Here is a 25,117-nt window from a genome sequence, read left to right as displayed (position 1 = left end):
CTGGGTCTCAATTTTCACATCTATAAAATGGGAATAATATCTTCCCTGCTTAATTAACTTCCAGAGTTTCTGTGAGAATTCCATAAGATGATGAATGAGGCAGGTCATGTGGATTATGGAGCCCTGGACTCGAGTCAGCACAGACTAGATATGCTTATGTTAGCCCAAGCAATGGGTTTGTCTGCTTATATTTGGTTGTCAAGATTTAACAAATGTGAGGTTTCGCTTTTTAAAGAATCTCACTTCCCAGCTTCTCTGGTAAAATGAGAAGATTAGCAAGAATCAGCTGGCATTTCTAACTAGCAACTAGAGAAGTGGCTACTTCCTTTATTTCACCGCGGGTACCACCCTTCCCTAGTGTCACCATGCTCAGTCCAGATCCATGATTTTCATTTCCTGCTTGTCCTCCATGATAGGCAAAACTCTAAGATGACCCCCAATGACCCTCACCCTTGCATAATCCTCTCCCCTTTAAGCATGGGTCAAAACTGTGGCTATGATGACAGCGTACTCCTGTGGTCATGATATGTCATACAGCAGGAGGAAGAGGACCCTGGGTGGGCCAGACCTAATCAGGTGAGGCCTTAAAAGCAGAATGTTTTCTCTGGCTGGTGGCAGGACAGGAAGGCAGAGATTTGATGCATAAGAGGATTTAACGTCCTGTTGCTGGCTTGAAGATGGAGGTGGCTACATGGTAATGAATGCAGATGGCTTCTAGTTGCAAAGAGTGGCCCTTGGCTGACAGCCAACAGGAAATGGGGACCTCACTCCTATAGTCATGAGGAACTGGATTCTACCAACAGCAAGGAGGATGGCAGTGGATTTTTCCTCTAGAGCCTCCAGATGCAAACTCAGGCTGACCAACACCTTGATTTCAGCTTTGGGATTCTCTCTGAGTAGAGAACCCAGATGCACCATGCTGGACTCCTGACCTACAGAAGTGTGAGCTGAGGGCCAGGCGTGGTGGCTCATGCCTGTAATCCCAGCACTTTGGGAGGCTGAGGCAGGCAGATCATAAGGTCGAGAGTTCGAGATCAGCCTGACCAACATGGTGAAACCCTGACTCTACTAAAAATACAAAAAAATTAGCCGGGCCTCGTGGCAGGCACCTGTAATCCCAGCTACTCTGGAAGCTGAGGCAGGAGAATCACTTGAACTGGGAATGCAGAGATTGCAATGAGCCGAGATCGTGCCACTGCACTCCAGTCTGGGCAATAGAGCCAGACGCCGTCTTAAAAAAAAAAAGTGTGAGCTGAAAGATGGATGGTGGTGTTTTAAGGTACTAAGGTCGTGGTCATTTGTTACCGATATAGCTTCTGGAGGCATTTGAGTTTTCAAACTCTGTATCTGACCGTAAGAAGTCATGGGGATAATCCCACATAAAGCTTGGCCAACGGATTTTCTTAGAATGACTTCCAAGTGGAGGCAACTCTTGATGACCTCACCGTGAAACCTACTTGCAAGCAGAGCAATCCTCTTACTCAGCTACTTAAAAGCCTTTGATAATTTCCCCTACCCTTGATCATGAATTCCAAATTCCCTAAGGCGGCACACTGAGCACTTCCCAAGCTGACCTCAAATGCCATGGCCGAATGAATGTCTTCTGCACACCTTGTTTGGCTACAGGCAGACCCAGCTGATCACATTCCATATCCTCTCATATCTGCTTTGAAGGCCTTTGTCTCCTCTGCTTTACTGTTGATCTCCCAACTTTTAGGGCTCAGCTCAAGACTACCTTTTCCATAAGCCTGCCCTCGAATCTCCCACTCACGATGCATCTTGTCTTGTTAAGCCTGCCCTCGAATCTCCCATCCACAATGCATCTTTGCTTGGGGAGGAAGGAAGAGTTACAGTCTCTTCTTCTTTATTTTCTTTTCATAATAAGAAGTTCATAATTTATTTCATCCAAATGGCATCATTTTTCAGATGTCAGAGGCCATTCAGTCCAATAACGACTTATTGAGCACCCACTATGTGCAAAGCGCTGTGCGACTGACTATAGGAATGTATTTTATTTCTTTCTTATTTATTTTATTTTTAGAGACAGGGTCTGGCTCTGTCACCCAGGCTGGGGTGCAGTGGCAGGGTCATAGCTCCTGCAGCCTCGAACTCCTGAACTCAAGCGATCCTCCCACCTCAGCCTCCTGAGATACTAGGACTAGGGGTTCGCACCATCGCTTCCAGCTTGTTACCATTCTTTACAACTCAAGCCGAGCAGCACTCAACATTCTATAAAGAACCAGCCTTTTGTATTCATTATTTATTTTATCCCTTACCTTGACTTGCCACAGTATACAGGACCCACAGGCATGCTTGGCATGTAGTAAGGACTCAATAAATGTACGTAAAACTGAAATGCATTTGTTTTGACACGCAGCATCATAATAAAAATGGAGACATCACGCCTTGGCATGGTACTGCCCTTTGGAGGGCTCCTGCTGGTTCCTCCCACCAGAAGCATGGTTGCTATGGCATTGGAAGGCATAAGAAACTTTTCTCAGGCGTGTAAACATTTATTTTCGAATGGAGGCGTGTTGAAGATTAGTCAGTGTAGCAACACTGATCAAGGGTCAACTCATCCATAATGCCAAGGTCTCAGCTGAACAGAAGCAGTGAAGACTGTACCACGCTGGGTCAGCCTGCCAATCTCAGCCCCAGAAACAGGGAAAGCCGTAGTTCAGAGAGCTCCCCAGTCACCCAAGGTGGTCTGGAATTTCAAGCAAGAAGGTTGTGCTTGCTCTTTTTTGAGAATGTATGGATCCATACATGGACATTTAACAAATACAAGAGGAATGAGTTGCTTCTTTCCAGTAACAGAATGTCCCCATCAAAATCCCCTTTAACAAGCCTACCAAGTTCTGCTTCCTCCTGGACGTGCTGACTGTAGATCATCCTCACTGCATCCAGATCTTTGTTGAACATTTGGATGAGGACCAGGTATTTATCAGATGTATCCCTCGCTACCAGCGGTCTTTCAAGGAGGTTTCCTGCTATGTCTAGCAGCTGTAGGGAAGGTGGAGGAAAAAGAGGAAAAAAATCACAGATTAAACCTTTCCATGGTTATACAAATCCAGTGTTCTGGTTTTCCTTTATATGCCTACCAATGTAAGAAGAGTGAACAGTGTTATTGTGGAGCTGGACCTGTAATTATTCATATGTGGATGATATTCATAGTCTTTCTCTTCTCCTTTGCTTCTAACAGAAAATTCCTGTCTGCCGAGTTACTCACCCCCAGCTCTACTTGGCATAAGAATCTGGATAAACCAATAAACAAAGGGATAACTAAAGATCCCAGCAAGGTTAAGCTGAACTACATAATTAAGACCTGGAACAGGCCAGGCGCGGTGGCTCATGCCTGTAATTTCAGCACTTTGGGAGGCCCAGGTGGGTGGATCACGAGGTCAGGAGTTCAAGACCAGCCTGGCCAAGTTGGTGAAACCCCGTCTCTACTAAAAATACAAAAATTAGCTGGGTGTGGTGGCGGGTGCCTGTAATCCCAGCTACTCAGGAGGCTGAGGCAGGGAATTGCCTGAATCTGGGAGGCGGAGTTTGCAGTGAGCCAAGATGCCAAGATCGTGCCATTGCACTCCAGCCTGGGCGACAGAGTGAGACTCTGTCAAAAAAAAACCAAACAAACAAATAAACAAACAAAAAAAACAAAACCTAGAACAGAAAGAAGGTAATGATGGAAAAGAAAAAGAAGCTAAGTTGGCTGGATGTTGGGGAGAATTTGAAGGGCAAAAATTTGAGAATGGGAACAAGGAAATAGTTTCTGAGAGCAGGTGCCGTGAGAATGGCAGTGATGCTGACCTTTCTCTGAAGATGTGTTCCTGTGCATTCAGACTGCCCTAACCCCTCAGTGTTTCATGGAGCAGCAAAATCAAGATGTGAAATGCTTTTAATTACTTTCTGGCTCCTAGACTGTGTTTCTTCCATTGTGATGCTTTTCTGAGATGAGGCCATGTAGGACTCCAGTTATATTTAGGATATACCAATACACTGCTTCTAAACGTGCCTTCCATGATAACCTCTCATCTCCACCTAGCACTTGAAGTCAGAGGGTGACGAAGTACAGCAGTGGGCAGCCAAATCTGCCCAAAACTGCTCAGTGCATGGTTTTTGCATTTCAAAAGAGAATTAAAAAAATTGAAAAGAGGGCCGGGCACTCTGGCTCATGCCTATAATCCCAGTACTTTGGAAGGACGAGGCAGGCACATCACTTGAGGCCAGGAGTTCAAGACCAGCCTGGCCAACATGGCAAAACCCGTCTCTACTAAAAAAAAAAAAAAAAAAAAAAAAAAAATTAGCGAGTCATGGTGGCGTGTGCCTGTAATCCCAGCTACTCGAGAAGCTGAGGCATGAGAATCACTTGAACCCAGAAGGCATAGGTTGCAGTGAGTTGAGATCGCACCACTGCACTCCAGCCTAGGCAACAGAGCAAGACTCTGTCTCAAAAATAAATAAATAAAAATAATAAATAATAAAATGAAAAAGAGTGTGTGACAGAAAACACATGTACCCATAGTCTAAAATATTTATTCTCTGACCTTTTGTAGAAAAAAATGTGGAACCCTTGCTTTAAGTCAACGAACATGAGAAACACGATATAAAATTACATCCACATGTCCTAAAACTGGAAGCTGAACAGTCTGCATTTGTCTAAGACCTTATGCTCTTTATCCTACCTCCTTATTTCAGGTTGGGCCATTTTTTTGCTTCACTGGCATCCCAATCCTGGAGGGAGTGCAAGCTCTAGGAGCTGATTGGCATCAGCTCACAATCTTAGATGGCTCCTAGAAGTCTGAGGCATCCAGGCCATGTTATGCAGAATGACCAGGTATGGAGAAAAGCCAAATATGGGGTCCTTGGCCAGATGTTTTCCAGGTCTGACAGTTTGACTGGATTTCCTTAATGATTCCAAGGCACTCTAAGGACTCTGTAAAGGTGCTAAAAAGCCTTCCATTGGGGAGGATCTAGGGTCACACTTTCTTTCACAAAACAATCACCCAGATCTCTGGAGACAGTAAAAAGTAGCTCTGCCTCAATGGAAGCATAAGAGAGCAGACTTTTCCGAGTTCTGTGGCTCCCATCTTCTGTTGAGGAAGTACAGGTGTGTGCACAGAGGGACCACCATGGCCAACCTGCACCGTCTGTTCACAGTCCTTGGCCTGGATGTACTCATGGATTCATGTCCACTGAGGGGCCACCTAGTAGTTGGATGATCTTACAGCAGCAACAGGGGATCTAGAGTCAGGTACTCTCTCTGGTCCCTACTCCCCAGCCTTGAAAATGTTCTTCTCTGCATGAGCTTATGTCAATTGGAGATTTTGCTTTTGCTTGGGGATGAAGGAAGGGTTTTAGTTTCTTGTTGGTGAGATCACCAAAAAGAGAGAAACAAAGTAGGCAGAAGGGATCGGAGGGTTATGGTTTTCCTACTAGTTCCCAAGGCCTGGGCTGGAAGCTCAGCTGAGAAGAAGAGTCAAGGTCAGAAGATAAATAATCTGCTTTTATGAGCCCTCTGAAACTCTGGGTACAAGCAGTGCTGCTTCAGTAGAGGGAAGGTCTCCCTCTACTTCTGTCCAGAACCCATAAAATTTCAAGGATTGGAATTCTGGAACCCAAAGAGGCATGCCCTTGGCACACACAGACATGTTTTCATGGTGGGGACCATCAGAAGAAAAGCAATGGCAAGACTCCTTCAAGCACTTTTCTTGGCAGATAAAATTTAAAGGGGGTCTGTAGACATGTAGCAGATGTCGTGATTTCAAAGACTTCAAAGTGGCTTGAGAATACTTGTGAGGCATCCCTTGAAGACTCCTGAACATCTCTGGTAGAGAGGGATCTATGTGATGTGTAGGTCTGGGCATCCTTAGTGCACGAATGGAGTTTCAGCCCCACAAGTTGCCTGAGCAGCAGAGTTTCAATCATCCCTGACAGTTAATAGCATACATGATCATTTTGTAGACACATGCAAGCCCTTTCTTTGGAATTGGTTCAAATGCTTGGAGAGGGGAATCTCAAAAGGCTTCCAATGTGAATTACGGTATTGATTAAAGGCTACATGTATATGTATGGTCAATGGCTAATGGAGCCTGCCGCATTTGGGTTACCAAATACTCTAGAATAGCACAGATCCATCCATCCAGGGTTTAAGCCTCTTCTACAATTGTCCCACCCATCACAGATCCTGTGTCTGAACATTTTCAGTGCCCAGAAACTGAACTACTTGCTAAAGAAGTCCATTCCATCTTAAACAGCTTTGACAGAAATCTCTTTCCTCTACTGAACCACAATGTGACTTCTTGTAACTTCTACCAACTACTGGAACCCTTAAAGCTTTACAGAATAAGCCTCTTGATTGCTTGGTGGAACACATATCATGCTCCACTGAGTCTTCATGTCTCACGATGCAGCGTTCTCAGCTGTGCAGCCATTTACCTATGCATCATCTACGCCTTGTCCTAAACCTTCTCCTCCATACACTTTGTATTACCTGATCTGAGCGTGATATGATAAGAGCACAAATCTTCTTATTCCAGTTATCGATGCCTGAAACCTATCAATCATTACCTGGGAGGTGGTTTGCTCCAGATTGAATCAACCTAGCAGCCATGGTTAAATAGCCATGGTATTGCATGGTCACACTTTCCCTACTGCTAAAGGTATGGCACCTAAAGAGATCACCGCAGAAATTCTTCTTAAAAGTATTTTTACATTGTCACATTTTCAGGAAAGCATAAGTAATTAGCCTGAGAATCCCAATTCTGCACACTTTCTTGATATAAGAAGGATTCCCATATCCTTCTCTACTAGATTAATAAGAATAATTAATAGTTGCAGGAACAGAACAGGTGGAAAGGTATCCATATCATCCTCTGATGAGGGCCGGGGGAGTATCCAGGACCGAGTGGCTCCTGCCCCATTTACACAAACCTTAAAGGCATGCTCCAAGCCAGGTGCATCATCAAAAGCTTGAATAAAGATAGTCCCCAATCTTCGGTCAAGATCTTCTACTTTCTGGTTAAATTCAGAGACGTCATTTTCAAAGTCCTGAAGAGACACCATATATATATAAGGAAAACGTAATTTTCTGTAAGCCAACCCCACTATGCTCCTCACAGCTAACTTTTGTGTTTGAACTGGTTATACCAAAGAATTATTTTAATTTTCTGAAATTCACCATGGCATGACTTAATTTTTAGCCATGTAGAGTTACCCTGTGGTTGCAGCATTTTTACCTAGAGGGTTCCAGCAAGATGGTGAAATGAATTAGATGTGAGTTTGGTGTTCTTCCACCCTTTCCATGCTCCTCCGTTCTGCTTCCTGAAGCCCCTTCTCTCTCACTCATAACACCAGCTCACATAACCCTGAAAACCACCGCAGCATCAACAGCCCCAGCAATGGGGCTATTTCAACTTTACCACCCACTTTCGTTCCTTCCCCAAGTCAGAATTCTGTTTTTCCATTGTCAGCAAACTAATCTAGCCATTAGGAGGAAAGAAAGCTAATTAAACTAATACAAACAATTTCTTCTAAATCCTTCTTAATTGGTTAAGACAGCAACTAGCCTTGTTCTTAAGATTGCCAAATTTAGCAAATAAAACTACGAGGCACTCAGTTAAATTGGAATTTCAGGTAAACAAGAATTTTTTTTTTTAGTATGTCCAAATTAGTGTAGTTTATCTGGCAACCCTAATGTATTTCTCTTAGCACGTAGCAATTTTCAGAGAAACATTGGTCACGCCAATCTCTAATTTGTGGAATTATTTGTTATTATTGCTTTGTAACAGTAACGCATGTGTGTGTGAAAAAAAAAGGGTATGAAAAAATAGTCTAGTTCTACTTCCCAAACATGATGACATTTTGGCATGTTTCTTCTTAGTTTTTAGTTTTTTCTCTGGGCAAAATCCCTGGGATTATGCTTTGTTTTACTGTATTGTAGGGTAGCAAATACATTGTATATAGCCTGCTTTGTGGTCTGCTTTTTTTTTTTTTTGAGACAGAGTCTCACTCTGTCACCCAGGCTGGAGTGCAGTGGCACAATCTTGGCTCACTGCAACCTCTGCCTCCCGGGTTCAAGCCTCCTGCCTCAGCCTCCCAAGTAATTGAGATTACAGGTGTGCACCACCACGCCCAGCTATTTTTTTGTATTTTTAATTGAGACGGGGTTTCACTGTGTTGGCCAGGATAGTCTACGGTCCACCTTTTTTGGGTCTACTTTTGACTAATAGAATTCTTAGAAGGTAGAATCTTCCTGGGTCTGGCCAACTAAGATTCCCCTGGATGTCTGAAGGTGCTCAGAGCAGATTCCTGCCCTAATTTCTTTCTCCTTTTCCCGCACACACTCTTAAAATTCCTTCTCCAGTAATTCTGCCATTCCTTTTTCTGGGATTTCCATTCTCTGTTTTCATACTGGCCCTTTTTCTTCTTTTTTTCTCCCATGCATGTGGACTTACAGGTTGAGGCTTTCCTGGGGCTACAGGTGAGATGCGGGCTCTTTGTTCCTGTCCTGGAAAATGCTTCTCTGGTCCTTTCCTTATCCTATGTGTTCTGTTAGGAACCAGGTTCAGATCAGAAAACCCAGGCTGTGGCTTCACTTATACCTCCCCAAGTCACTAATAAAATTCTGTCCAGGTGTGCCTGTTCTTCCCTTAGCAGTTTTTGCCCGAAGCTTAAAACATTTTTCCCCCTCAGTTTTATTAAGTTATAATTGACAAATAAAAATTGTATACATATAAGATATACAACTTGATATTTTGATACATGTATACACTGTGAAATGATCACCACAATCAAGCTAATTAACATATTCATCACCTCACACAGTTACCATTTGCTTTTTGTGTGCGTGGTGAGAACACTTAGGATCTACCCTTTTGGCGAATTTCAAGTACGCAATACAGTTTTTCTTTTTTTAAAATTATTTTACTGTAAGTTCTGGGATACATGTGCAGAACGTGCAGGTTTGTTACATAGGTATACATGTGCCACGGTGGTTTGCTACAACTACCAATCCGTCATCTAGGTTTTAAGCCCCGCATGCATCAGGTATTTGTCCTAATGCTCTCCCTCCCCTTGTCCCCCAACCCCTGACAGGTCCCAGTGTGTGTTATTTCCCTCCCTGTGTCCATGTGTTCTCGTTGTTCAACTCCCACTTATGAGTGAGACAGCAAAGCAATACAGTTTTTTGTTTGTTTGTTTGTTTGAGACAGAGTCTCCCTCTATCGCCAGGCTAGAGCACAGTGGCGCGATCTCGGCTCACTGCAACCTCCGTCTCACGGGTTCAAGCGATTCTCCTGCCTCAGCCTCCTGAGTAGCTGGGACTACAGGCGCCCGCCATCACGCCTGGCTACTTTGTGTATTTTTAGCAGAGACGGGGTTTCACCATGTTGGCCAGGATGGTCTCAATCTCTTGACCTCATGATCTGCCCGCCTTGTCCTCCCAAAGTGCTGGGATTACAGGCGTGAGCCACCGCACCTGGCCTGCAATACAGTATTGTTAACCGTCTTCACCATGTTGTACGTTAGAGCTCCAGAAATTATTTATCATGCATAACTGAAACTTTATACTCTTTGACCACCACCTCCCCATTTCCCTCTCCCCCACCCCTGGCAGCCACCATTCCACTCTGCTTCTATGACTTTGACTATTTCAGATGCCTCATATAGTTGAGACCATGCAACATTTGTCTTTCTGGGTCTAGCTTCTTTCACTGAGCTTAAAACGTTTGAAGCCACAGGGTGGCCACCGCCTCCACTGTCATGTCATACCCACCTCAGCATCTCTGAAACCCTGGTGTCATTAGTCTGGAGCAGTTAACAGTTGGAAGAGGCCTCCTTGATCTTTCTCCCAACACAAAGAATAATTAGAATCTTTCTCTTGGCACAAGGAATAATAATTTCTCCTAACACAAAGGATAATTAGCAAAACCACTGGGACCACAGAGCCAAAGGAAATACACAGGGAAAATGCAAGTAAATACCTAGACCCTACAGATGAGAGGCATCCGGGACAGAGGCAGAGCTGGCGATTCAGCCCTTCCCAACCCTACCGTGCTTTGGAGGTACAGGCAGTCGGAGGAGGATCCTGAGAGAAGCCTGTACATCTCTTGAAATTCTTCATGCATTTGCTGGACCTGCTGACTCAGAGCATTCCCTCTGACGCCGCTGAACTCCACCTTTCCCAGTTTGTGGAAATCCAGGGCCGTCTTCAGAAGACCCTATGGGGACAATTCACAAAAAAGTTAAAATCATTCTCAGCAAACTATCGCAAGGACAAAAAACCAAACACCGCATGTTCTCACTCATAGGTGGGAATTGAACAGTGAGAACACATGGACACAGGAAGGGGAACATCACACTCTGGGGACTGTTGTGGGGTGGGGGGATGGGGGAGGGATAGCATTAGGAGATATACCTAATGCTAAATGACAAGTTAATGGGTGCAGGACACCAACATGGCACATGTATACATATGTAACAAACCTGCACGTTGTGCACATGTACCCTAAAACTTAAAGTATAAAAAAAAAAGAAGTAAAAAAAAAAAAGAGTTAAAATCATCATCATGATCATAACAACAGTGAATGAGAAAAGTTGGAAACCATGGGGGCGGTGGTTGCTTAGGAAATTGTGAAGCCTGATTAGTTTCATAACCTTATTATTAGATCGGGCTGGTAAAAATAACTCTTGGTTAAACTCAATAACAAAGCAAAGAGAAAGTATGGTCAAATAAAATTCACTTAAACCAAAATAAATATATACATACATAAATAAGTGAAATGTATGCTTCCACCTCTCTATGTCTTTGTGGTCTTTAACAAATAATAAAATGTAACAATAATAAAACTATTTATATAATTGGTAGCTTTATCGCTGATTTCTCTAAAATAGCTCATTTCAAATGGATCATGTTATCCAGTTCTAGAATGACAGCAATCCTAAGGGATGTTGACGGAAAAACAGAGCTGCAAAATCGTCCTGAAGACATGCCCAGAGGGTGACACCGGCCTTCTTTGCAACTTGTCTGCCAAGCAAACACATCTCCTGCAGGGCGCCCTCGCTGGGCGTGCATAGGATGTTACACCCTGCCGCCAGCCAGGTGGCGGTGAGTAGTTATTTACCAGCTCTGTGCTGCACTTCTTCATCTGCTGCAGAATAATAATAACACCTTGTAGCATGATGCTGAGTGCTAAGTCAGTTAACTCAAGCCTGGGATTTAGGCCAGGCCTGCACACACAGTATCATCGCTGTTATTAATGTGGCAGTGTCCCAGGTGTGCTTGAGATCCAATGACAGGTGGACGGCGCAACCCAGAAGCCTTGGGGAGGATCCCCTCCTGAGTCCACGGAAGCTGCCTCACCTCCGATAGGATTGGAGCTTCCTCCTGAGCACGTCTAGCAGGACAGATTGAATTTATCTCTTGTGAGTATCTAAAAATCACAAAACCTCCAAACCAAGATATGTTTCTTGTCATGACTTCCAATTTGTGTGCACATTCCTTAGGCAGGAAAGATGACAGTAAAAGTTCCCTTTGTGTCATTTTGGCCAACATTTGGTGTGGACTGTGGGAGGGATCCTCTGCTCTGGAGGTTTAAGGGGTGCACCATGACACCGATGCTGTAAAATCCAGCAGGTCCTGGTACCACTGCAGGAAATCTCACTGCCCATGGCTGCTGCTATGGGTGACCCATCAGGCTGGCACAGGCTGCCTGGCTCCTTTTTCCTGCTGGGACACACCAACTCCAGCAGCAGTGACAGAGGCGCTGGGAAGTGGGGACAATGGCTGACTTTCCCTGCTTGGCAAGGAGGGTACCCACGCAGATTTGGGCAGCCATCTAACAAGCCTGTTTTTGCTCAGCTATGTATGTTTGGGCATGGCTAGTGGGAAGCAGCTGAAGTGGGAGGGGAGAGAAGAGGGAAGACACCAGCCAAGGCAGGGAAGACAGATGCCAAAACCAGGGAGGGACTTTTGCCACTAATGGTGGGAAAAGTGGCAGTCTTTCTTCAAAAATAGATTCAACTTGATATACTGGGAAGAAAACCGAAATGAATTTTATGGAAATGAAATTGACTTCAGTAGTAATTCAAGTCTCTCGTAAAGTGCTTAGTTGTAATCTGTTTTATAGGGACAGTCATACTTGTGCTGTGAAATGCAACCTTGGTACTCATTCGTCATAATTCTGTGGATGTCAATTTCAATTTCTAGGAAATACTTCGTACCATTTTAAAAGGTAGATGCGTTGTGATATGTTTGATTACATCAGAAACCCAGATGATAATTTTGTTAGACTATTTTATTTCTCAAGAATACTTAAAGCATGGTCTAGGGAGGTGACAGGAAGGTGTTTGATCTTCAATTTATCCTAGATATTAGCGAAATATTTATTTAACTATTCTACTTTTGGAGAAAGTCTGGTCACTTAAAAAGATAGATACTTACATTGTTTTATGTAACAACACACACATGGTGGACAACAGATTTATCTGGGGCTCAACTCAAGGTCTTAGGCCTTTCCTCACCCTTCTGTGGAAAGAGATCCACCCATCCAGCTTTCCCCCAGACTCTGTATTCCCTTCTTCTGCTTATTCAGAGCGCTTATCACACTCTGGAATTATATTATTTGGCATTATATTATACTATTTGCTTATTTTCTGTCCAGTAAGTTGTAAATGCCCCAAAGGTATCTCGGTATTTCCAGTGCCTGGAAGAGTCCCTGACCCTGAACACATTTGTTGAGTGAAAGAATGTATGCTGTTTGTTCTTTGACTTGCCTATAATACTTCCAGAAAAAAAAGCAGCAAGGTGATAGAGGAGCTAGGAACCCTGACATCTGAAGAGCAGTTGGTGAAAAAAAATAGACAAGAGAAGAGAATTATAAGGAAGGACATTTCAATGTCCATAGGACCCTGGTCAAGTGCAAGGGGGAACCTTCCCTGGTGCTACAGTGAAGGCAGAATGAAGGCAAATGAGTGAATGGGACAAAGAAGTAGATGTGACCTCACCATACAGGTTGAACTTATTACATTGCTGATACGGGATCATTTCGACCTAAAAAATGGCCATTTCCTGTGGTTTCACTTAATAAAAAACCATCTAATGCTGTAGAATGGGCTACAAAGAGAGGGAGGGAGCTCTCCATCGCTGAAGGGGTTTTAATAAGTTTGATGTTGGAGGCATAGCAGAAAAGATTTCTGAAGCAGCTAGGAAATTGTCTTACAACTATAGACACCAGACTTATGGCATTGACCATGGCTATATCTTTGATTAGCCTTAAATCTTTGATTTAAGAATCAAAATAATTCGATTCTTAAATTATGTAAATGTAAGTTCTTTTCATTGTTTATTTAAAAGTTCTCACAAAACAGATAAAAGGCAATTTAAATCAATAAGAAGTTTAAATGATATTTTTTAAATATCTATTTTTATTCATCACAGTACTAAACACGAAATTCATCATGTTATACACCGGCTGAAATATCCACTTCAGAGACACAACATATGGCATTGTGGAAAGAGCCTAGGATCTAGGGCCAGAACAAACAAACAAAAAACCCTGAGTTTACGCAACTCTGGTTCCATCATTTACTAGCTATGTGGCTTAAAGCAAGACACCTAACTTTTCTAAGCCTCACTTTCCTAACCTGTAGATGGGAACAATAACACTTAAGTTGCTGTGAAGTTACCAAGTTTATGGAAGGTTCCCTGTAGGACTTCACTAAAAGGCAGCCACTATAATTAACCATGATCACTCTGATGTCATTAGATCGGGTTAATGGATATTATATGTGTAATGGGGTACAGAGGGGACATTTGGGTGCTTCTTTCAAGACAGAACAAGGAACACTGGGGTACCAGGCCGCTTACTGGACTGATCAGGTTCTATTCTTATGAAAAAACCGTGCAGCACTTAATGGTGGTGGCAGGTGGCAGGGATGTGGGGAGGATTCAATATGTGCTCTGGCCCCTGAGATGAAGAATCAAAACCAGGGGTAATAGCAAGACTTGCAAACAGCAACCCCCTTCTCAAAGGAGAGGCCACGCTGCCCATCTTAAAAGAAGAACCTTGGGAATTCATTAAGGGAGAGCACAAAGCAGATGTTCATAGATGAAAATCTCAAAAGGTCATTTGGAAAAAGACTGTTTTCTTTACCTTTTGATCGCCACTGACCTTATGTGGCCAATGGTCTCCTATGTGACCACATATTCAAGCCGGGCTAAAAGGGAAGATACCCAATTCGGCTCAGAATGAAAGGAGGCTGCAGAGTGGCTGGAGATGGTAGAAAGAGCAAAAGGAAACGCGGTGTGGATATTAGGTCAGCTTATTACCTATGTACCTGCTAATCACTTCGCATAAAGTCTCAGCAGGAAATCATTTTGTCTCCAAATGAATCACAGCTTTATAGCAGTTTTATAATAAAGGAAATGAGAGTTCTCGCCAAGGTGCTTACTGCATTGTTTGGAGGGAAGAGGCTGCAGGCAGAAACTCAAACAGGGGATCTGCAGAATCTACAACTCTATGACGCAAAAATGAACTCGGTGTGTGTGTGTGTGTGTGTGCACTGATGCATCAAGCAGGAAGGCAGGATGAAAGAAGGAATCAAGAGGCAACCCAACAACTCTTTTTCTCTTTGAACTTTGATGGCTCATTCAAATTGCAAAGATTTTATATACTTCTGGGATTTTCTTAGTAAGTCATAAAGTCAAATAAGATCCTTTCATGAAATGGGAATTATAATTGTACCTGAGTAACTTACTTTGATATAAAGACCTAGAAATTGTATGGCAAAAATTGAGTGTACAAAAGTAGAACAGAGTGTATAAGGGCAGAATAAAACCACAAAACCAGTTTGGGATCCTCAAACCAGGAAAGTGGGAGGAAAGAAAGAAGGAAGGAAGGGAGAAAAGGACGGAAGGAGGGAAACAGACCTTCACAACTCCCTATAGGATATCAAAGTTTGGTGCAAAGACAGTACTTGGAACCAGCTGTCCCCCTGGGTACAAATCTCAGCTACACCTCTCCAACCTGTGTAACTATGGGTGAGCTCATTTATGTATCAGATTTAGTTATGCTCATTTGTTAAAGAAAAGATACTGATACCCAGTTCTTTTCTTTTCTTTTTTTTTTGAGATGGAGTCTTGCTCTGTCACCCACGCTGGAGTGCTGTGGCACGATCTCGGCTCACTACATCCTCTGCCTCCCAGGTTCCAGCGATTCTCCTGCCTCAGCCTCCTGGGTGGCTGGGATTACACGGGTATGCCGCCATGCCCGGCTAATTTTTGTATTTTTAGTAGAGACAGGGTTTCACCATGTTGGCCAGGCTTGTCTCAAACTCCTGACCTCAGGTGATCCCACCACCTCGGCCTCCCAAAGTGTTGGGATTACAGGCGTAAGCCACTGCACCCGGCCCCAGTTCTTAAGATGATTGCAAGGATACAGGCTCTGGCATGGGATAGGTTCTTGAAACATGTTAATTTTTTAGTTTTCTATTCCTTGTTCTTCCCTCCACAAGGGTTAAATCTCTAAGAGATTACCTGTATCATGGTTATGATAAGAAGGCAGAGGAGAATGGTGGTATCCTGAAAATGCAATTACTCCACTTACTGCAGACACCGAAAAATACTGGGCAATGTATACCCCTTCTTCCAAGCCAGCCCCACCTCTGGCATTTAGCAGGCACCCAGAGAGGAAGAGTGGATGTGCACAACAAAATTCTCTTGTGCAAAAAGAGTGAAAGAATAAAAAAGCAACTCACATCAGAGAAATGAAATCTGGGAGAATTGTGGGGATTAAAAACCAGCCCTTCACACTCTAACCCGTGACGAGAGCATGCAGAGAGATAAACACATTGGTGTTTCATGTATTTATTAATTGCAGCTACCATCATCTCAGTGGCCATAGATTGTATTAGAATAGAAGATGAATAAGGCTAAGTTCATGATAATTCTTACTGGAGAGGAGCAGATTAATCCCATTTCAATCAGGCATCGATCACAGAGATACACAGAATATTAACTAAAGGCCTACATGAAATATGCCAGAGGACAGCTGATAGTCCTGTGTTCCACTGCACAGACTCAGGAGGCAAGAGCTGGGGGAGGAGGAAGATGGCAAAGGGCAAGGGCGATGCATCTAAGCAGACATTTGGGAGATTAAAAATAAAAGAGGGGAGGAAATATGAGGAAAAGGGGCAAGGAGTAGCCGTGGGAAGATGAAAACACATGGAAATTCAGGGCAAACAAAGAGGTCAGGGAAGTTAGAAAATAGAGAAGGAGAACAAAGTGAAAGGGGGACCAAGTGAAAAGGGAGGAAGAATTAGACAAAGGGAAAGAGAGGGAAACACAGTCAAGAAAAGAAATGCTGGCCGGGCACGGTGGCTCACACCTGTAATCCCAGCACTTTGGGAGGCCAAGCTGGGTGGATCTCCTGAGGTTGGGAGTTCAAGACCAGCCTGACCAACACAGAAAGACCCTGTCTCTACTAAAAATACAAAAATTAACCAGGCATGGTGGCACATGCCTGTAATCCCAGCTACTTGGGAGGCTGAGGCAGGAGAATCGCTTGAACCCAGGAGGCAGAGGTTGTCGTGAGCCGAGATTGTGCCACTGCACTCCAGCCTGGGCAACAAGAGCAAAACTCCATCTCGAGAAAAAAAAAAAAAAAAAAAGAAAAAGAAAAGAAAAGAAAAGGAGCAGCTGGGCACAGGAGCAAAGCAGCTAACCAGAGCCAAGGACAGAACGACACGTAAGAGAATGAGAGGCAGCAAGGCAGGGAGCTTGGTGACACTCATGTCATCCTCTAATTAAATGGGGGCAACTGCTTTTTATGCACCTGTGCCCTTGATTCAGAAAGCAGCAGCAGCCTGAGAAAGGACTTATTGTGAGAGTAATGACGCTAGGGAGGCTGGTGGCCATCACTGCTTATATTTACTGAACATATCCTGCAGATTAGGCGCCCTGATGTTAGAATAGCTGTCTATATGCAAAGTCAAATCATTAGCATGTGTGCACAGGGCCTGGGGTCATGCTCTGCTACCATTCCCAGGGCCATCTGCAGGGCTGGAGCATCTGCAAACATGGCCGCTGCCAGGCAGTGATGGAAATTCGTTCTTCGTGGTCAGCCCAGGCCAGGCATGGGCTGGGGCTGGAGTGTCCCTCACCTCTCACTAAACAGCAGCAAAGGAATTGGTGGTGGATATGAGAGGAATACAGAGTGCAGGAGGAGTGAAGGGCTGTACATCAACCATGATGGAAACGGCTGAGGGAAAAAGAGGCATTTAGGATAAAGCTAGATAATCAATTATTTATAGTCTCTGTGATCCTGATGAAGGGTTTAAGGTGCGCCTTTCATAAGATCTAGCTTCTGGCTTTCTCTCTCACGCATTTTCTCTCTTTATGCCCTTCCCATCTTTGTCTTCCCTGGCAAATTCCCACTCCAGTTTCACAACTGATTTTCTCTTGTGTTCCCACTTTTTGTCAAAGTCCTACTGGGCTAGAGACCCCTCTTTCTTGCTCCCAGTAACACATCAATCTCACTTTTTTTTTTTTTTTTGAGACGGAGTCTCGCTCTGTCCCCAGGCTGGAGTGCAGTGGCGCGATCTCAGCTCACTGCAAGCTCTGCCTCCCGGGTTCAAGTGATTCTCCTGCCTCAGCCTCCTGAGTAGCTGAGACTACAGGTGCACGTCACCACACCAGGCTAATTTTTTTTTTTGTATTTTTAGTAGAGACGGGGTTTCACCATGTTGGTCAGGTTCGTCTCAAACTCCTGACCTTGTGATCCACCTGCCTCGGCCTCCTAAAGTGCTGGGATTACAGGCGTGAGCCACCGCACCCAGCCCAATCTCACTTTTCTGATAGCAGTCAGTATATCCCACTTTCCTGATTCTGTGTCTTTCCTCCCGGATCTCGTCCTTTAGTCTGTCTTCCTTCTCCTGCAGTGGCTGCAGGTCCACCAGCCTCTTACAGGGAAATCGCATTTCAGTCGTCTTTGTATCTCAGTTCCTAGCTCCGTGCCTGGCACATGGTGATGCTGAACCAATACTTTCTGAACTGATAACAGATCCAATCTTACGTTCTCCTGTCCTTGTCCTCCCATGGTTTGCTCTGTTCATCATGGCTTCCTCCCAGCATAGCTCTCTTTCCTCCAAACCTGCTCATGACAGCTGGGAATATGATTCTTGTTCCTTCCCTGTCCCTCTGGCTCTTGTCTTTTTTTTTTTTTTTTTTTTTGAGATGGAGTCTCGCCCTGTCTCCCAGGCTGGAGTGCAATGGCGCGATCTTGGCTCACTGCAACCTCTACCTCCCGAGTTCAAACGATTCTCCTGCCTCAGCCTCCCGAGTAGCTGGGACTACAGGCGCCCGCCACCACACCCGGCTAATTTTTGTCTTTTTAGTAGAGGCGGGATTTCACCATGTTGGCCAGGCTGATCATGAACTCCTGAACTTGTGATTCGCCTGCCTCAGCCTCCCAAAGGGCTGGGATTACAGGGGAGAGCCACCGTGCCCGGCCTCTTGTCTTAATCTTAAACTCAACCCTGAATTTCTCAAATCCGTTTAAGTCTGTATTTCATTTTATTAGGCCCATTACCCTCCCTTCCAAGTCCAATCAGCAAACACATAGCTGTAAAATGTTGAGAGACCTGTTAAACATATTAAGTTTTGAGAATTGAAACAATCCAAAGAAATAGTATCATGTCTTCTCACCGTAGTACTTCACCTAAAATCCATATTTATTTTTAAATAATTGAGGGAAAGACATAACTTTGAGCAAAAGTCATGTTTCTTTTGCACAGGGACTCATTCGTTTTGGACTTTGGGGAGCTGCCTTGGAGATTGGGGAGTGGAGGAGGAGAAGTTCAAAGCAGCCAGCTTTGCGGGAATGGTTATAGCCCAGCCAAGGTTTGCTCAGTGTCAGTCTTTCTAGGCAGAGTTTATTTGAAACCCAGTTCAAAGGCTATGGGCAATCTGCAAACCAATTGAACTAGTTCATTGATTCCTTGGGCCTTCTTCCTAAATGGGTCTATGATCAGGATTTCCTAAACTTCTACTATAACCACTATTATGTGATGTGATGGTCAATCCAAATGACAACTATTTATTAAAACTTCTTTTTTTTTTTTTTTTTTGAGACAGAGTCTCGTTCTGTCACCCATGCTGGAGTGCAATGGTGTGATCGTGGCTCACTGAAACCTCTGCCTTCCGAGTTCAAGAAATTCTCTGCCTCGGCCTCCCGAGTAGCTGGGATTACAGGCGTGTGCCACCACACCTGGCTAATTTTTGTATTTTTAGTAGAGACAGGATTTCGCCATGTTGACCAGACTGGTCTCGAACTCCTGACCTCATGATCCACCTGCCTTGGCCTCCCCAAATGCTGGGATTACAGGCATGAGCCACCGCATGCCTGGCCCTTGTTTGTTTTTTTGAGACAAGGTCTGGCTCCTGTTGCCTAGGCTAGAGTGCAGTGGCACAATTTCGACTCACTGCAACCTCTGCCTCCTATGCTCAAGCCATCCTCCCACCTCAGCCTCCCGAGTAGCTGGGACTACAGGTGCACACCACACCTGGCTATTTTGTTGTTGTTGTATTTTTTGTAGAGAAGGCGTTTTGCCATGTTGGCCCGGCTGGTTTTAAACTCCTGGGCTCAAGCAATCCACCCACCTTTGCCTCCCAAAGTGCTAGTGGGATTACAGGCATGAGCCACTGTGACTGGCCAATTGAACCTTTATTATGGATTATTCCAGCTGATGGAGGGTTGGCTATGAGGTTGTGTTGTGCATTTTCCTATTCCACTTTTTGGACCCCTGGACTGCTTCTTTCTGTCTGGGGCTGGCAGCCTGAGGTGAGGTGCGCACTCACCTCCACCACGTGCAGTTGTCCCAGGAAGCCATCCAATCGCACAAAGACCAAAGAAGACTGGAAATCCCATTCCTTGACTTCCTGGTTCTCTTTGAAGTAAGTGTGGAGATTCTCCCTTCTGTCCTGAAACTCTTGCTTGAAGAAGCTCAAAGTGTCTGAGACCACTTGCAGTTTTCTCTGACTTTCTTCTACCTCACTTCTCAGCAGGTCTTCTGGGCTGAGATAATTAGAGGCCTGGTATACAAACAGATTAGTATCACTGAGCAGGTGCAGACATCCTGTAACTTTGCAACACCAACTCTGAACTGAATCATTGCCCCAGTAATATTTTTCACGAGGATAATAGAGGAAACATCTGACCTCGCTTTCCATTCCACATGTGGACTGCGACCTGGGTTTCGGCCAAATAGTCTTAGTCACTGAAGCTACAGTGATTGGCTCAGGAATGGGCAAGTAGCCAGGGACAAGGAAACACAATGAGACTTTGTTGGCTAGCTGGGGCTGGAGCAGGTGCCCTTTCCCAGGTATTCTTTTGTGACTTATTGGCTTTCAGTAGTAAAGTAATTTGAATGCAAGAATTATTTGGACCATAATTATTTTTCTGTCTCGAAGAGGCTTACACCTGGAAAACTGAAAAGCTGGAGCTGTAGCGACAGCCACCTTCACCACAACAGGGTGGGTCCCTGGGTCTGGCTGACATCATCTAAGGCCACATTGCAAGTCGGGGCTGAAGCCAGCCTTACCTTGGACTTTCAAGGTACATGAGCCAATATGTTTTCTTTTTTTGCTCCTACTTTTGGTTTCGGTTTTCTTACACTTTCAACCAAAAGAGTTCTGGCTGATAAACATGGAGTAATGGAAAGGCACTAGCCTAGGAGGAGTCAAACAGCCTGGGTTGGGGTCCTGGTTTGGGTGTCTTTGGGCAAGTCAGTTAACCTCCTTGAACAGTAGCCCACATCTTTAAATAATATAATAAATAATAAGACCTTCCCTGCCCACCTTGCAGGGTTTATTTGATGATTGATAGAAATCATGAATGTAACAGTATTTTGCAGCCTGCAAAATGTTAGTTATTCTTAGTTACTTATTAAGCTTGTTCGTTATTTTCTCAGAGAACAGCTCCTTAGAAGAAAAGGAAACTGGTTTGGAGAGATCACCCAAACCTCCTTAAGCCCTCTAGTTCTTTTTTTTTTTTTTGAGATGGAGTCTCGCTCTGTCGCCAAGCTGGAGTGCAGTGGCACAATCTTCGCTCACTGCAACTTCTGCCTCCCGGGTTCAAGCGATTCTCCTGCCTCAGCCTCCCAAGTAGCTGGGACTACAGGCGTGCACCACCACGCCCAGCTAATTTTTGTATTTTTAGTAGAGATGGGGTTTCACCATGTTGGCCAGGATGGTCTCGATCTCTTGACCTCGTGATCTGCCCGCCTCAGCCTCCCAAAATGCTGGGATTACAGGCGTGAGCCACCGCGCCCGGCCCTCTAGTTCTTTCTTAAGATACACTCCTCAAGGTTTATGCTGCCCTGGTTGGTGCTACAAGGGTCCCTAAGAAGGAGGAGCATGAAGTGCATAATCTAAGAAGCTGCTTCTCAATAGCTTATGGGTACCAGGTTCTTACCATGTGCAGGGCACATGCATTATCACATGGAAGCCTCAAATCACCCAGCAACCCAAAAAGAGATATGGCTTCTTGTTTTCACCATTGTACAGAGGAGGAGAGTGAGGCACAGAACAGGAAGTGATTTGTCCTGGCACAGAAGTGGTATGCTGGCTGCCAAGTGGCAAAGCCAGGGATTGGTACAGCATCGCCTGACTCTACCTGACATCAGAGGCTGCACTCTTTACTGCTTAGGCTTTGCTGCTGACTCATTACCAGTCCTTCTTCATAGGTCATTAAGGAGGTTGAAATTCACCACCCCTACTTATCCCCTCTTAGGCAGAGGGGAAAGGAAGACAGGATGGCTCAGGTGTTCTAATATTACTGAAAATGTCTTTGTAAATTATTGGCTTCTGAGAGTAAAATACTGTAATTCAAGTGTAAGAACTCTTTGGAACATAATTATTTCCTCGCCCAGAAAAAAGGACACTTGTCTCTTCTCTCCTGTGACTAGATGCCAACCAGCCCCCAGGGAGCAGTTGCTGGGCATCCCAGGGCAGCCCACCTGCTGGATGAGAAGGTTGCAAATCTCCTGGAGCAGCACAGTCAGCCTTCCCGGGGAGCGGTAGGACTTGCATGTGGCCCAAATCAGACAGACCACGTGGAGCAGGGGCCGCAGCTGGGGCTTCACCTCCGGAAATTCTGCATTCTCCAGAGCTTCCAGGTGGCGCTGGAGCGGTATCAGGTGCACATGGATGTCCTGTGCCTCTGCTAGAGCTGGAAGGAATTGGAGATGGTCAGCATTCCCATCTGGAGCCTAATACCCACCTGGTGGAGCCCTAGTCCCTGGGAAGTAAAAGACCTGCAAAACAACAAGCAGAGAGAAGGCTGGTTCCAGAAAACTTCCTAGCTCTTATGAGGAAATATGGAAACTGGAGAGCCCTGAACAACTAGGATAATGATCTGAAGAGTTCTGTCTTGTAACATTCCTCTAAATGGACTTTTCCCTGGCCCTCCCAGCCTCCATCTGGTGCTTGGTGGGTAGTAAATATTTGCCAATTACTTTGCTGCTATCTCTGAGACAATACAAGTTTTAGAATCAGAAAGACTTTCCTTCAAATGCTGGCCGAGACGCTTGGCAATTGTATGACTTTGGGCACGTGTAACCTCTCTGAGCCTCAAAAATAGGCAGAGCTGTAATCAGTTTAAAGGGTCCTTGTGAAGGCTGAAGGTAGTTCAATAGGAATCTTTATAAACAACTAGCACAGTGCTTGGACCAATGCAGGTGTTTGATAAATGGTGGTGGCTCTGATGAATATTCACTAATAAAGAATCTTGCTGAGCACTTATAAAGAAGTCACAGATGTGTGATGTTCCCCACCCTGTGTCCAAGTGTACCCATTGTTCAATTCCCACCTATGAGTGAGCACATGTATACATATGAAACAAAGCTGTACGTTGTGCACATGTACCCTAGAACTTAAAGTATAATTTTTTTAAAAAAGTCACAGAGCATAGAGACATAACATAGATGGGTTATGGCAAGGTTCTGCTGGTTTTCAAAGCCAGGAAAATCTCTTACCATCTCCTCTGAATACAACCAAGGAAAGAAAGGGGCCTTTAACCAGTCGTCTTGTGGTGACTGACACGGGAAACTAGGAAATCCAGCAGCACTGGATGCTAATATCTGCGTAGCAACTTAGAGGGAATGCAAAAGGGCATTGGACAAACTAAATTGGAAGGGCGAGTTTACAAAGGCTGGTTCTGTCCTGGGCAGATAATCAGGTGGTATCATATGAGAGCAGGTGGTCTTAGGTTACAGTATGCGGATGAAGCTCTGCATTCATCCTAAAGGGAACTCAAAATATACACTATTTAGGAAGCAGTTTCAATATGCCGGGAATTGTTCTACTTACTATCTATGAGATATTTACCATCTCACAGAAAGCCCTGCAAACCAGCTTTAGTACTTCATACTTTAGTATTTTATAAGTGAAGAAATTAAGGTCTGAATAACTTTCCTAGGGCCCTCCCATGAAACAACCAATCCTGTCCAGCTAAGGAAAAGGAAGACGACCCAGAGTTTATTACATTGAACCCTTGGCTTCACGGAGGCTCACCATACACAAAAATATGTTGATATGTATGTTTGTACTTTATATCCCAAATAAGGTTGTGGAAAGCAGTATGTGAATCGAATTTTTTGCAAAGTCAGATGTCACAGTAAATTGATTAGGGCAGGGATTCTCAAGTGGAGGGGCTGATGGTGAGTATTAGAACCTCTGTGTTGGGGTGGGGGATTTCAGAATCCAACAGTCATTCTAATGAGCGCATGCTCTTGCTTCCGTAAGTGCTGAGAGAAAAGAGGCTGAGACTATCATGCTATAGGAGCTTTCTCTTTATGATACCCTGTTTTGAAATCTTTTTAAAAATCACAATCTCTTTTAATTATACTAATTAGCATTGCCTTGATTTTTAAGAGCACAATACTTGAGAAAAGGGTTGGCCATCCAACCCAGGATGCAATACCCTTGGATGACAAGGCATATGAAGAGAGAGAGAGAGAGAGCTGGGCTCATACCTTTTTTTTTTCTTTTGGGGTGGGGATGGAGTCTCACTCTGTCACCCAGGCTGGAGTGCAGTGGTGCAGTCTTGGCTCACTGCAACCTCTGCCTCCTTGGTTTAGTCTATTCTCCTGCCTCAGCCTCCCTAGTAGCTGGGATTACAGACATGCACCACCATGTCTGGCTAATTTTTGTATTTTGAGTAGAGTTGGGGTTTCACCATGTTGGCCAGGCTGGTCTCAAACTCCTGACCTCAAGTGATCTGCCCGCCTCAGCCTCCCAAAGTGCTGGGATTGCAGGTGTGAGCCACTGTGCCCAGCCGAGCTCATACCTTTTTAAAGAATGTAAATACAAACAGCAAAGTGCATAGTGATCTCCAGTGGTTTGCAGGAAAGTCTTTAACAACAGGCTCTTTGAGGACAAACACGTTTATTTGTAGCATCTGCCAATTTCTATGGTATAAATATTCCCAGTATTCCTACCATGTCCATTTCTAGGCTACCAATTTGACTTCGCTGAGTGCTGCTTGGGAGAATGGGGGTGCAAGGTTTAAAACAATGCATATAGCAGCCCTTCACGAGCCACAGCAAACCAGTGTGCACTGGCTCCAGACAGCCCTTCTTTGTGTGCCTTCTTTCACACACGTATCTACCTACACACATCCTTAATTGCTGCTATGTGAATGTGTCCCCTCCAAAATTCAGGTGTTGAAATTTAATGGCCAATGTGATGGTGTTAAGAGTTGGTGCCTTTAAGAGGCCACTAGGCCATGAGAGCTTCTCCCTCATGAATGGGATTAAGGCCCTCATCAAAGAGGCTTCACATAGAGTTTGGCTGGCTTGCCTTCCACCGTCTATCAGGTAAGGACACAGAGTTCCTCTCCTCTGGAGGATGCAGCAACAAGGCGCCATCTTGGAAGCAGAGGCCAGGCCCTCACCGGACACCCAACCTGCCAGTGCCTTGATCTCGAACTTCTCAGCCTCAAGAACTATGAGAAATAAATTTCTGCTCTTTATAAATTACCCAGGCTGTGGTATTCTGTTAAAGCAGCACAAATGGACTCAGAAACTTGGCAACCAGGTTGTACCATGCCTATCCTGTGCA

At 44.6% G+C, this 25,117-nt stretch overlaps 1 protein-coding gene across 5 annotated transcripts in view, besides 1 other annotated feature; it reads right to left on the bottom strand.

Annotated features, from left to right (window-relative positions):
- Nucleotides 1-25,117, bottom strand: part of DNAH9 (dynein axonemal heavy chain 9) — a 371,279-nt gene that overhangs the window by 330,112 nt on the left and 16,050 nt on the right. For 4 of the 5 annotated variants that reach the window (XM_011523703.3, NM_001372.4, XM_017024294.2 and 1 more), the window contains exons 5-9: nucleotides 22,015-22,226; nucleotides 19,856-20,089; nucleotides 10,053-10,220; nucleotides 6,934-7,050; nucleotides 2,853-3,003 (exon numbers count right to left, since the gene is read on the bottom strand). In XM_011523703.3, the coding sequence (XP_011522005.1) occupies nucleotides 2,853-3,003; nucleotides 6,934-7,050; nucleotides 10,053-10,220; nucleotides 19,856-20,089; nucleotides 22,015-22,226 (882 nt within the window). The remainder of the gene's footprint in view (nucleotides 1-2,852; nucleotides 3,004-6,933; nucleotides 7,051-10,052; nucleotides 10,221-19,855; nucleotides 20,090-22,014; nucleotides 22,227-25,117) is intronic. The other variant, XM_017024292.3, reaches the window with a different exon arrangement.
- Nucleotides 1,058-2,257: an enhancer, noted in NCBI's record as "CDK7 strongly-dependent group 2 enhancer chr17:11540697-11541896 (GRCh37/hg19 assembly coordinates)". NCBI's record gives its function as "activates an origin of replication core promoter dependent on BRD2, BRD4, P300/CBP, MED14 and CDK7 cofactors, with strong dependence on CDK7, by STARR-seq in HCT116 cells {active_cell/tissue: HCT116}" and the evidence as "EXISTENCE:reporter gene assay evidence [ECO:0000049][PMID:35650434]".

The sequence above is a fragment of the Homo sapiens genome, chromosome 17 (assembly GCF_000001405.40).
Source record: "Homo sapiens chromosome 17, GRCh38.p14 Primary Assembly".
In the NCBI taxonomy this organism is placed as follows: Eukaryota; Metazoa; Chordata; class Mammalia; order Primates; family Hominidae; genus Homo; species Homo sapiens.
This window is presented reverse-complemented; position numbering and strand designations above follow the sequence as displayed.